Source organism: Homo sapiens, chromosome 2 (genome assembly GCF_000001405.40).
Source record: "Homo sapiens chromosome 2, GRCh38.p14 Primary Assembly".
NCBI classification, from domain to species: domain Eukaryota; kingdom Metazoa; phylum Chordata; class Mammalia; order Primates; family Hominidae; genus Homo; species Homo sapiens.
Genome location: NC_000002.12, coordinates 37,216,258 through 37,230,100, shown reverse-complemented (window position 1 = coordinate 37,230,100; position 13,843 = coordinate 37,216,258). Strand labels below are relative to the sequence as shown.

At 39.6% G+C, this 13,843-nt stretch overlaps 1 protein-coding gene across 1 annotated transcript in view, besides 1 other annotated feature; it reads left to right on the top strand.

Annotated features, from left to right (window-relative positions):
- The window catches only part of CEBPZ (CCAAT enhancer binding protein zeta), a 29,985-nt gene that overhangs the window by 1,496 nt on the left and 14,646 nt on the right, over positions 1 to 13,843 (top strand). The window contains exons 2-7 of the mRNA NM_005760.3: positions 1,065 to 2,557; positions 6,700 to 6,931; positions 7,538 to 7,721; positions 9,628 to 9,716; positions 13,064 to 13,117; positions 13,683 to 13,785. Of these exons, the coding sequence (NP_005751.2) occupies positions 1,065 to 2,557; positions 6,700 to 6,931; positions 7,538 to 7,721; positions 9,628 to 9,716; positions 13,064 to 13,117; positions 13,683 to 13,785 (2,155 nt within the window). The remainder of the gene's footprint in view (positions 1 to 1,064; positions 2,558 to 6,699; positions 6,932 to 7,537; positions 7,722 to 9,627; positions 9,717 to 13,063; positions 13,118 to 13,682; positions 13,786 to 13,843) is intronic.
- Positions 3,618 to 4,222: an enhancer, noted in NCBI's record as "OCT4-NANOG-H3K27ac hESC enhancer chr2:37453022-37453626 (GRCh37/hg19 assembly coordinates)". NCBI's record gives its function as "activates a minimal SCP1, AML or CMV promoter by ChIP-STARR-seq in naive H9 embryonic stem cells {active_cell/tissue: H9 hESC(naive)}" and the evidence as "EXISTENCE:reporter gene assay evidence [ECO:0000049][PMID:30033119]".

Below are 13,843 nucleotides of genomic sequence, written 5' to 3'. Positions count from 1 at the left end.
ATTATTGCCAGTCTTTCACTATTTTAAATAATACTACAGTTAATAACCTTAATCGTGTTTTTCCCCCACTTTTGTAAGTGTATATGTAGTATAAATTTGTAGAAATGAGCCAGGCACAGTGGCTCACACCCATAATCCCAGCACTTTGGGAGTCAGAGGTGGGAGGATACCTTGAGTCCAGGAGTTTGAGACCAGCCTGGGCAACATAAGGAGACCTCATCTCAAAAAAAAATTTTTTTTTTAAATAGCTGGGCGTGTAGTGCCAGCTACAGGCTGAGGTTGGAGGATCACTTCAGCCTGGGAGGTTGAGGCTGCAGTTCAGCCATGGTCATGCCACTGTACTCAAGCCTGGACAACAGAGCGAGACCATGTCTCAATCAGTTAGTTAATTTTTAGAAATGAAGCTGCTGGGCCAACAGATGTGTGCCTTGTATTAAATAGTTGTGATTGGAGTTGACAAATTGTCCTCCATGGAGGTTGTGTCAGTTTACACTCACATCAACCATGTATGAAAGTGCCGTTTCCGCCACCCCTTCCCCAGCATCACCTGTCATTGTATCTTGCTCATCTTGCAGTGTATCTTTGCTCATCTGATAAATTAAAAGATGGATGTATCATTGTGGTTTTAATGTGGATTTGTCTAAACCTCAGTGAGGTTGAACATCTTTTCATATTCTTAAAGAACCCTTTTTTTCTATGAACTGTTCATGTCCTTTGCACATTTTTCTTTTGGGTTGTCACTTACTGATGTGTAGAAACTTATATTAAGGGATTAAACCCAATTACTTTGATAGGAATTGCTTGTATTTTTTTTCCAGTTTATAATTTATATTTTTTTCCTATATCGAAATAAAAAGTGTGTGTGCGTGTGTGTGTGTGTAAAAGAAAGAGAGAGAAAGAGAAATTTACTTATCCTTTCCTTTGTGGACCCTGAGTTTTATGTCAAATTTGAAAGGATTTTTCCAGTTCCGAAATTATTTTTAAAATTATGTTGTGTTTCCTATTATTTTATGGTTTTATTTTTCACATTTGTAATGTATTTTTAACTTATGTTTTTAATGCAGCAAGATTACCTTATGCTGGCTACTTTGGATGAGAATGAGGAAGTGATAGATGGAGGCAAAAAAGGAGCAATCGATGACCTTCAGCAAGGTGAATTGGAAGCATTTATTCAAAATCTTAATTTGGCGAAGTATACAAAAGCTTCCTTAGTTGAAGAAGATGAACCAGCTGAAAAAGAAAATTCCAGCAAAAAAGAAGTAAAAATACCTAAAATAAATAATAAAAATACAGCAGAAAGTCAAAGGACATCAGTTAATAAGGTGAAAAATAAGAATAGGCCAGAACCACATTCTGATGAGAATGGCAGTACCACACCGAAAGTAAAGAAAGATAAACAGAACATCTTTGAATTTTTTGAGAGACAGACTTTGTTACTTAGGCCTGGAGGCAAATGGTATGATCTGGAGTACAGCAATGAATATTCTTTGAAACCCCAGCCTCAGGATGTTGTATCTAAGTACAAAACCCTTGCTCAGAAGCTGTATCAGCATGAAATCAACTTATTCAAAAGTAAGACGAATAGTCAAAAGGGAGCCTCTTCTACCTGGATGAAGGCAATTGTGTCATCGGGGACACTAGGTGACAGGATGGCAGCCATGATTCTTCTTATTCAGGATGATGCCGTTCACACACTTCAGTTTGTAGAAACTCTTGTGAACCTTGTTAAAAAGAAGGGCAGCAAACAGCAGTGCCTTATGGCCTTGGATACTTTCAAAGAGTTGCTTATCACAGACCTTTTGCCAGACAATCGGAAGCTGAGGATTTTCAGCCAGCGTCCTTTTGACAAACTGGAACAGTTGTCCAGTGGCAACAAGGACTCAAGAGATAGAAGACTGATATTATGGTATTTTGAACACCAGCTGAAACACTTAGTGGCTGAATTTGTGCAGGTCTTAGAAACTTTAAGTCATGATACATTAGTAACCACTAAAACTCGAGCCCTTACCGTGGCTCATGAGCTGCTTTGTAACAAGCCTGAGGAAGAAAAGGCTCTTCTTGTGCAAGTGGTAAATAAACTGGGAGATCCTCAGAACAGAATTGCCACAAAAGCATCCCATCTGTTAGAGACATTACTTTGTAAACATCCCAATATGAAAGGAGTTGTGTCTGGTGAAGTAGAAAGGCTACTCTTCCGCTCAAATATCAGCTCCAAAGCTCAATATTATGCAATTTGCTTTTTAAATCAAATGGCTCTGTCCCATGAAGAAAGTGAATTGGCTAACAAATTAATAACTGTTTACTTTTGCTTTTTTCGGACTTGTGTCAAAAAAAAAGATGTTGAATCAAAAATGCTTAGCGCCCTTTTAACAGGTGTGAATAGGGCATACCCTTATTCCCAGACTGGTGATGACAAAGTAAGGGAGCAGATTGACACACTGTTTAAAGTGTTGCATATTGTGAATTTTAATACCAGTGTCCAGGCTTTAATGTTGCTTTTCCAAGTAATGAATTCTCAGCAGACAATATCGGATCGATATTACACAGCATTATACAGGTAAGAACATACCCTTCCAATATGAGACATGAAATAATAACTTGATGTAGTACAGCACAAGCAGTGCCCTCTGTGGGGCAAGAAAAAGAGTTAGAAAATTTGGTTTTAGGCCCCCTCAGCAGCTTGCTACTCGCCACCTTCAAGTAAGTCACTTAATCTTTGTTTCCCTGATGGGCACAAATTATATTAGATGCTTTGAATACATTTTTCATTTTGAGAGGTTGTAAAATACAGAAAAATACCCAAAAGATTCATTCATATCTACCACCTAGTATTTCAGAATTAACATTTTGCTATATTTGTTTTAAATCTTTTGGGATATTAAAGAAATAAAATTGCAGATATAATTGCAGTTTCCGTCTTCCCATTCTCCTCAGTCCTCTATCTTTTCCCTGCTGTCTTTCACACAGTTGAATGCATTCACACAGTAACTCATTCAACAAGTATTTTCTGAGTGCCTGCAGTATGGTGCCATGCTCTAGGTGCACAGGAGGCACAGCGAACAGAAATCCCACCCCTGGAGGCGCTCACATTCATATTGGAGGAGGTGGCAGAGAGGGGAGCGGTGGTAAACAAAGTATGTTAAGTAGAGAGTTTTGGGGGATGCAGGGTGCAGGGTTTTTTTTGTTGTTGTTTTTTAATGGAGATGAAGATTTTCTTTACTGAATTTTGCAACTCACCCATTGAGGCATCATATTTTCAGCAATGTGTAAACAGTTTGGAGCTGTTTAAGAGACAGTCGAACATAGCAACTGTGTTCAAGAAATTAATATATTTCCTTCTGATTCATTTTTATATTTTTACATAGATATATCTTGTGAGAAAATGTGGAGTAGTGGTTCGTATCTTAGACTTAAGCCACGCCGCCTGGGTTTGAGTCCCTGCCATTAGTTTTCTGTGTAATTTTGGGCAAATTACTTGATCCCCACTAAAAACCTATTGGTAGACATAATTCATCCCATGTTATCATGCTTAAGTGGATTTGTCTGTAGGATGGAGAGAAAAGCAGCTATCTCATATGATTATTATGAAGATTTTGAAACTTGCACAAGGTTCTACAGCTTGTAAATGACAGAACTGGGGCTTTAATGAAGGTTGGGAGGTTATGTGTGTTAACCCATGTAATCTTTCTATGTATATTAAGTGCTTAACAGTGCCTAACACTTAGTGCTATGTGAAATGTTGGCGGCTATCCTTATTACTGATAGTCATCCATGTTTCTTTAGTTTAATCCTCTTAACAGCTCTCCAGTCTGTGATGTAGGGGTGGGTTGCCCCTACACACCTGTGGGTGTTTCTCGTAAGGTGGGACGAGAGATTTGGAAAAGAAAAAGACACAGAGACAAAGTATAGAGAAAGAAATAAGGGGAACCGGGGAACCAGCGTTCAGCATATGGAGGATCCCGCCAGCCTCTGAGTTCCCTTAGTATTTATTGATCATCTGTCGGTGTTTCTCGAAGAGGGGGATGTGTCAGGGTCACAAGACAATTGTGGGGAGAGGGTCAGCAGACAAACACGTGAACAAAGGTCTTTGCATCATAGACAATGTAAAGGATTAAGTGCTGTGCTTTTAGATATGCATACACATAAACATCTCAATGCTTTACAAAGCAGTATTGCTGCCCACAGGTCCCACCTCCAGCCCTAAGGCGGTTTTTCCCTATCTCAGTAGATGGAGCATACAATCGGGTTTTATACCGAGACATTCCATTGCCCAGGGACAGGCAGGAGACAGATGCCTTCCTCTTGTCTCAACTGCAAGAGGCATTCCTTCCTCTTTTACTAATCCTCCTCAGCACAGACCCTTTACGGGTGTCGGGCTGGGGGACGGTCAGGTCTTTCCCTTCCCACGAGGCCATATTTCAGACTATCACATGGGGAGAAACCTTGGACAATACCTGGCTTTCCTAGGCAGAGGTCCCTGCGGCCTTCCGCAGTTTTTGTGTCCCTGGGTACTTGAGATTAGGGAGTGGTGATGACTCTTAAGGAGCATGCTGCCTTCAAGCATCTGTTTAACAAAGCACATCTTGCACCGCCCTTAATCCATTCAACTCTGAGTGGACACAGCACATGTTTCAGAGAGCACGGGGTTGGGGGTAAGGTTATAGATTAACAGAATCTCAAGGCAGAAGAATTTTTCTTAGTACATAACAAAATGGAGTCTCCTATGTCTACTTCTTTCTACACAGACACAGTAACAATCTGATCTCTCTTCCTTTTCCCCACACTGTGAGATACAATAATTTGGGCAAGGTCACACAGATATTAAGAGACCAAGTTAGGTGGCAAGTCCAGGTCCACTTGCTGTAGATTTCATGACATTTCATAGCACTGATTGCTCTGGTCCACTAAAAAGACTCAGAAGCCTTTCCACAACTCTTTGAAGTAATAGATAACTTAACACTGTTAATTTGAAAAGAGTTCCAAGGCTGAAAATGTAGAGGTTTCGGGATCTTGAGTTTTGTTTTTGTTAGTTTGTTTGTTTGTTTGTTTGTTTGTTTGTTTTGAAGGGGGGTGGTTTCATTATTTTGAACTTTTGATGGTCATAGGAATTTTTGATTTTTAGAAAGTGTTTGAAATCTATTAGAAAACATTTTTCTGTCTCTATTTAACATCATAGTCTAACATCTCTGAGGAAGGGTGGATTTTTAAGTTTTTGAAATTACTATTTGCCAAAAGCGCTCACAGATGGAGTTTCTTAACAGGCCTTTAGGCCTTCTTAAAGTGTTTGTTTGCTCTTGGTTTTATTAGGAATCCTTCACATTAAGAAAACCCCTAGTTAATTGAGGGATAAAAGAAATGACATGATTTGGTTTACAAAAATATTTATCAAAACATTAGGAAAATATTTCATGAAATGATAGAGACATGTCTCTAAATTCTTCTCAGATGTTTCTGTTGATGTGAGATGTAATTTATGCCTAATAATAAATTGCAAAATGGATGGAAATGTTGGAAAATTTAAATGTAAAGAGGGAAAATTTAAATGTAAAGAGAGAAAATTGAATAATCCAGAATATCCCAGAATATTACCAAAAGGGTGATATTTCCCAGAGTATTCAGAGCAATAGGAAAGTGCTTCACAAGCTTAAGTATTTTTCATTTCTAGTGTTAGTAGGAAAAAATTAATGGAAATGCTTAAAACAAAGGAAGTAATGATTCCAGGTGTTAATAGAGCTAATCTGGAGGATTGTGTTAATTCTGGGTGTCCTAATATCTGCAGGTCTAGACCGGTTGGGGACATGTGTAGGATTCAGCACCTAGGATAGAGAATTTTTAAAGTATCATGAGATCAAAGTAGAGCAGCCTACAGAAGACAGACATTAGGGAGAGACAAGCACATAATAGCTAAATAGGTTCAAGTATTTGGAAAACTGTCATGTAAAGGTATTAACTGCCAGGCACTGGGGTTACAACAGTGAATAACAGGCATAATCCCTATTTCATTGGACCTTTAGAGAAGAGGGAAAGGCAGGAAAATCAAGTTTGTGAAACTATGAAGAACACAAACATGGGACTGAGAGACTAATAGAAGAACCAATTTTGGATACTGTGGACATGCAGAGAGTTGGAGAGAAGCACTCTGGGCAGTGAAAATAGCGTGTATGAGAGGAATGTTACACAGCTAGTACATTGGACTAGAGATTCTCTGAAGTCCTTAGAATTTAATTTTCTGCTGTTCATCGATGGTCTTCACTAAAATCATGAAGAGGCGGCCTCTGGTCCCCCTGCTAGTAGGTAGTTATACAAGGACAAAAACCCAAATCTTCTAATGTTCTGCTTTCATGGGTCAGTTTTCACTATCTGGTTTTAGATTAGCTTTTCTGGTGGGGTTCTGTAAATACTGTTAGGGCTGTGCCCTGTTGATATAGAAAACAGAAAAACACTTGGAAAAGACAAGAAAACCACACACTCAAAAATGCCTATTCCTGTGTCTGTTGCTGTTGGTTTTTCCTGGTGCCATCATCATCCTTTTCTGGTCATTGACTTCCATCTTACCTCTTAGGGCAGGGTCTCTTGTTCTAAAATAAGCAGCAAAGTTATCCCTAACTAAGATGAGGTTAGTAGCTATTTCTAATATGTGACCATTGGTTGTGGAGATGGTTTTATACATAAATATTTGACCTTGGTTTTGTTTTGCAGGAAGATGTTGGATCCAGGGTTGATGACGTGTTCCAAGCAAGCTATGTTTCTTAACCTTGTCTACAAATCTCTGAAAGCTGACATTGTGTTGCGCCGGGTGAAGGCTTTTGTGAAGAGGTTACTTCAAGTTACTTGTCAACAGATGCCACCATTTATATGTGGAGCTTTATATCTTGTGTCTGAGATCCTTAAAGCAAAACCAGGTTTAAGAAGCCAACTAGATGATCATCCGGTATATTTTACAACTGCTTTTTAAATTGAGTGGGTGCTGAAATATATTGGTTTTTGTTTTGTTTTTCTTTGCTTCAAATGACAGTAACCTAGTTCTCTGGAGCATATGAGTGTGAGTTCTGGAATAGGACAAACCTAGATTTTAGTACCAGCTGTACAGTTTACTAGGTGGGCATGTTGCTCAACTCTTCTACTTGCAATAAACTGTACTATACTAGAAGCTACCATTATATGAGATTTGGAAGACTATAAAACTTAGTAGACCTCTTAAGTCTTCTTCCTTAACAATGAAATGGAAATAATAGTACCTACCTCATAGGGTTATTTACAAGTCAGAAATTTACTTGAGGGCTAATTGTTTTCAAGTATTAGAGTCCTTAAGGCTCAGGGGTTCTTAGCTCAAAACTTAACTGTGTTATGTTTAGAAATAAGGATGTAATCTCCTCTCTTGTTTAAATACCATTGATAGCCATCATTTTACTTTATTAGAACTTTCACGTTTCACCAGAGTTGCAATAAGTAAAACTCTGCATCACATAATGGAGCACAGACTTTATTGCAACTTCCAGTTGATTTATGTAGATTTATGAAACTATACTTTTGTTAGGAGTCTGATGATGAAGAAAATTTTATTGATGCAAATGATGATGAAGACATGGAAAAATTCACTGATGCAGACAAAGAAACAGAGATAGTGAAAAAACTTGAGACAGAGGAAACAGTTCCTGAAACTGATGTAGAAACCAAAAAACCAGAGGTTGCTTCCTGGGTGCACTTTGATAATTTGAAAGGTGAGTTTTTTTCATCTTTATTCTCTAGGGAGTTTGTTTCTCTTTGATTTTCATAGAAAATAGCATTCTACCATTTTATTTACTTATTTATTTATTTAGACAGAGTCTCACTCTGTTGCCCAGGCTGGAATGCAGAGGCGTGATCTCGGCTCACTGCAACCTCCGCCTCCCAGGTTCAAGTGATTCTCCTGCCTCAACCTCCCAAGTAGCTGGGATTACAGGCATGTGCCACCACACCTGGCTAATTTTTGTATTTTTAGTAGAGGTGGAGTTTCACCATGTTCGCCAGGCTGGTCTCAAACTCCTGACCTCAGGTGATCTGCCTGCCTCAGCCTCCCAAAGTGCTGGGATTACAGGCGTGAGCCACTGTACCTGGCCCACAGTTTCTTAAAGTAATGTTTTAGGGATAGAAAACTTTCTGTTCAAGATAGAAACGTTAAGTGGTTTTCTATACACACACCAAACTAAATTAAAAGTCTATTAATAGAATGTTAGAGTCAAAAAAAAATCTTAGAAATGCAGCCCCTTCATTTGAGGCTGTGAAGAAAACACCAGCCTTGAGGTTCGAGAAATGTGGTGCCAGACCCATTTCTTCAGCTTGCTTTGGGACTCACAGTCAAATTAATTCATCTACAAATTTCAGTTTGTGAAGTACAAAAGAGAAGTCTGATAGCTGCCAGAAAAGTTTGAGAAGAATCCATCAGTTCCCCTGAAGACTAAACTGAGAATAATCCTTTAGAAGGATGAAGAGCTTGTGTGTTGGAAGGTAGTCAGTTCCTAGTTTGTTCTGAAAAATCTTTGTTTTAAATTTTTTTAATCCTGAGTTTCTAAAAACATGAAGATAATGTCAGACCTGTTCCAAGTGAGAATTATTTCTGGGCATACTTTCATGACAAATATTTGAAGCACTCTAAAGCTCCAAAAGACTTTAGACCTAGTTCATCTTCAGATTATTTCCATCTTAACGTTTCCACCTCTTTGGCCCCAAAATGGGCACCTTTTGTTGCCATTTAGGAAAGGGAGAAGTTTGGGGTTTTTTGGTTTGGTTTTTGTTTTTTTTGAGACAGGGTCTCACTATGTCACCCAGGCCAGGCTGGAGTACAGTGGGCCATTATGGCTCACTGCAGCCTCAAACTCCTGAACTCAAGCGATCCTCCCACCTCAGCCTCCCAGGTAGCCGGGACTACAGGCTCGTGCCACCAGGTATGGCTAGTTGTGTTTTTTGTAGAGACGAAATCCCACTCTGTGCACCGGCTGGTCTCGAGCTCTTGGTCTCAAGCAGCCTTTCCACCTTGGCCTCCCAAAGTGCTGGGATTATAGGCATGAGCCATTGTGCCCAGCCAAAGGAGAAGTTTTGAAGGGAGCTTTTACTTACTTATTTTTGAGTCAGGGTCTTGCTCTGTCAGGAAGGCTGGATCACAATGGCACGATCTTGGTTCACTGCAACTCCCATCTCCTGGGCTCAAGTGATCCTCCCACCTCAGTCTCCCGAATAGCTGGGACTACAGGCACACACCACCACACCTGGCTAGTTTTTTTGTTGTATTTTTTGTAAGAGATGGGGTTTCACCATTTTGCCCAGGCTGGTCTCGAACTCCTGAACTCAAATGATCCACTCGCCTCAGCCTCCCTAAGTGCTGTGATTACAGGTGTGAGCCACTGCACCTGGCCTTGAAGAAAGCTTTTGGTGTTTGGGATAAACATGTTCTCTGCTTTATTCAAGAGCAGATGCTAGCTTAAGTACCAAGACAAATTCTTGAGGGAGCTCAGAGTTTTTAATCTAGGTTGCTTGGCTAAGTAAGAATGTTGGAGATATCTGTTGAGAATATTAATGGTGGTGCTTTTAATGACCTCTTGGGCTAGGAAGAAAGCATTTGAGAAATCGTATTTTTTTTGTTATTCCTAGGTGGGAAACAGTTAAATAAATACGATCCATTCAGTAGAAACCCTCTGTTCTGTGGAGCTGAAAATACAAGTCTTTGGGAACTCAAAAAGGTAAAATAATTTCAAATTGTCTTTTATTCATTTATGCTATATATATATATATATATTTTTTTTTTTTTTGAGACAGAGTCTTCCTCTGTCACCAGGCTGGAGTGCAGTGGCATGATTGTGGCTCACTGTAACGTCCGCCTTCCGGGTTCAAGCCATTCTCCTGGCTCAGCCTCCCAAGTAGCTGGGATTACAGGCGCCCACCACCACGCCCAGCTAATTTTTGTATTTTTAGTAGAGACGGGGTTTCACCATGTTGGCCAGGATGGTCTTGATCTCCTGACCTTGTGATCCGCCTGCCTCAGCCTCCCAAAGTGCTGGGATTACAGGCATGAGCCACTGCGCCCGGCCTATGCTGTATATTTTTGCCCTTGAGGATGTAATGCCTTGAAGTTTTTGTTTTTTTATGATAATTATAAGCATTAATAAACATTAAAAGTCCACATTTGGGGGAAGATACTATGTGAAGTGTTCATTTTGTAGAAAATCTTAAGTGTGCACGTAAAATAAGGATGTCATGCATGGGTTATGACTGTTGCTTTTTGTAGGTAGATTATTGCATATAGAGTTGAGAAAATGGATAAATTTTGCTTTATTTATTAGATACCTCTGAAAAGTTTTATGATAAAATTTTTTGCAAGTAAAGTTACTTTTCTGAATTTGTAAGAGGAATTCATATTTTTAATAACCTTTCTGTGACTTTTTGTGTAAAGCCAGTAAGTATCTTATGCAGCTATTCTCAAAGTGCGGCCAGACCACTAAGAGTTCCTGATACCTTTTTAGTGAGTCGGCCAGGTCACAGCTCTTTCCATAGTAATACCAGTACATTATTTGTTTTCATCACTGTGTTGACGGTGGCACTGATACTATAAAAGAAATGATAGGTAAAACTGCTGCAGCTTATCCTGAATAAAGACAGCACCAAGCTGCATCAGAAGCCATTATATTCATCACTGCCACATATGTGCAGTTAAAAAAAAAAAAGCCAGTATGACTTAAGAATGATGACACAGGGAGAATTACTGATTTTAGTGTCTTGACCTTAAAGTAACATGTCTTTTTAGTATTTCGTGTGCATACATAGCAAGTATGCGTAACATACCTGTGCTGCCTACCTAAAGCATGAAGGTTGTCACGTGTCTCAAGGACAAGTGCTTACCAGTTGTTGCAAGCTCATCTAGCTGCTCTTTCATGAAAGACTGACAAACTGGTTATTCAGGCTTAGGTATTTGGGAGATATTTTCTTGAAAATGAATGAAACAAAAAAGCTGGCAGTATTTGTTGTCAGCAATAAAATTCAAAAATAAAGCTTTCGAGCAAAGATTAAAGTTTTAAAAATCTTGTAACCACCACCTTGAGCTTGACAGTTTCTCAATTTGTAAAACTTTTCTGATGAAATCAGTGGTTCTAACAATGTGATTGTTGTGGTAAAGTATAACGAAATGTGCCAGTGTTTGGAAGGACTGCATATGGTATTTTTCCAATGACCAATGCACAATGTTACAAATTCTTTTTTTTGAAACGAGAAGGTTCTGTCACCCATACTGGAATGCAGTGGCGCGATCTCGGCTCACTGCAACCTCTACCTCCTGAGTAGCTGGGATTACAGGAGCATGCCACCATGCCCAGCTAATTTTTTTATTTTTAGCACAGACAGTGTTTTGCCATGTTGTCCAGGCTGGTCTCGAACTCCTGACTTCAGGTGATCCACCTACCTCAGCCTCCCAAAGTGCTGGGATTACAGGCATGAGCCACTGTGCCACCTGAATGTTACAAATTCTTGAGTGAATAAATGATTGATTCAAAGTAGACCAAATAATTTTAAGTAGCAAGTACCAAAAGCCAATTGAATATGGGTTTCAGATTCCATATTACAACTAATCTTTGGTTTTGGTATAGTACTAAAGAAGAAAATTCACAGCTATGTGAAAGACTATTTTCTACACATGAGGCCAGATTGTATGTTTCAACGTGGAATACAGAAGCAGATGAAATAATCCACTCTCTTCTGTTAAGCCAGACATTAAAGAGATTTGCAAAACTGTAAAGTAATACTACTCGCTATATATTTCGTCCTGAAGCATAATTATTTTTCTTTTTTTCTTTTTTCTTTTTTTTTTTGAGGCAGAGTCTTGCTCTGTCGCCCAGGCTGGAGTGCGGTGGTGCGATCTCAGCTCACTGCAAGCTCCGCCTCCCGGGTTCACACCATCCTCCTGCCTCAGCCTCCCGAGTAGCTGAGACTACAGGCGCACACCGCCACGCCTGGCTAATTTTTTGTATTTTTAGTAGAGACGGGGTTTCACCGTGTTAGCCAGGATGGTCTCGATCTCCTGACCTCGTGATCCGCCCGCCTCGGCCTCCCAAAATGCTGGGATTACAGGCATGAGCCACCTCGCCTGGCTGCATAATTATTTTTCATAAATATGCTACTTACTAGTATGTAGTAGCTTTATGGTTTTTGTTTTTGTTTTTTGTTTTTTTTTTTTGAGACAGAGTCTTGCTCTGTTGCCTAGGCCAGAGTGCAGTGGCGCGATCTCGGCTCACTCCAAGTTCCGCCTCCCAGGTTCACACCATTCTCCTGCCTCAGCCTCCCGAGTAGCTGGGACTACAGGCACCCGCCACCACGCCCGGCTAATTTTTTGTATTTTTAGTAGAGATGGGGTTTCACCATGTTAGCCAGGATGGTCTCGATCTCCTGACCTCGTGATCCGCCCACCTCAGCCTCCCAAGGTGCTGGGATTACAGGCATGAGCCACCGCGCCTGGCCGCTTTATTGTTATTTTTAATGGACCTATAAGTATTTACAATTTTTCTGTTTATTTTTATAACATAGGTGTCTGTAGATATAAACCTGTTGAATAGAAACTGATGGAATTTTTGGTTTTTAAGTGTAGGAAATGGTCCTGAGACCAATATGTTTTGAGAATCACTTTTTTAATGTATTGGCTTAAATTTCAAATTTTTGCATTTTCATTTTTGTTGTTGTTGAAATAGGGTCTCACTCTGTCACCCAGGCTGGAGTGCAGTGGTGCCATGTCAGCTCACTGCAGCCTCGACCTCCTGGGCCCAGGCAGTCCTCCCACTTTAGCCTCCTGAGTAGCTGGGAGTACAGGCACGCGCGCACCATCACACCCTGACTATTTTTGTACTTTTTGTAGACATGGGGTTTCGCCATATTGCCCAGGCCAGTCTCAACTTCTGGGCTCAAGCAATCTGCCTGCCTGAGCCTCCCAAAGTGCTGGAATTACAGGTGTGAGCCACCACACCCAGCCCGATTTTCTTAAATAAGCTATAAATGTACTAAGAGTCGACCTTAGAAATATTGATATTATTCACATTTTTCTTTTTAGTTATCTGTGCATTTTCATCCCTCCGTGGCCCTTTTTGCAAAGACCATCCTTCAGGTGAGTCTAAAATAAATCCAAAGATGAGAAATAAGAAAAAAAGTATCATTTTAGATAATCAATAATTGGTCATACAGTGTTTTCTCTAACAGAGAGAATCTTGTACATTTTACTGCTCGTATAAAGAAGCAGTGACTTGTTTCATACAGAGTAGCAGATAACTTTTCCCACTCTGAGATGAGTGGAAGCAATAAGACATTGAAAGCCACGCAGTTATTTATTTATTACCTTCTAGCTCCTCTCCTGGAGAAATACTGCCTCACTTTCCCATTTGCTGTGTTTGCCACTTCAGGGTTTGGTTCCTGATTAATGGTTAGATGGCCTGCATTATTAATATTAGTCTATCCATCAAATCAACATTACATCCTAGAATATGTATGTATATGTATCTGTGTGTTTAATTTTTTAAGTATAATGTGCATGAGAGAGATATTTGAAGAGTCATTTATTGCATATTTGTATCTTCAATACAGTGTAATAGAAATTATCTTTTTCTTCCTTTTTCTTACTTGGATTCATAGACATAATTTGAATTAAGTTTTTAAATCCCCGCTCCACTTTTCAGGGAAACTATATTCAGTATTCAGGGGACCCACTGCAGGATTTCACTCTAATGAGATTTTTGGATCGATTTGTATACCGAAATCCAAAGCCCCATAAAGGCAAAGGTATGCTTCTATTTAGTGAATTATTTGGCTTTCATTTTTAATACATAATAAACAATAT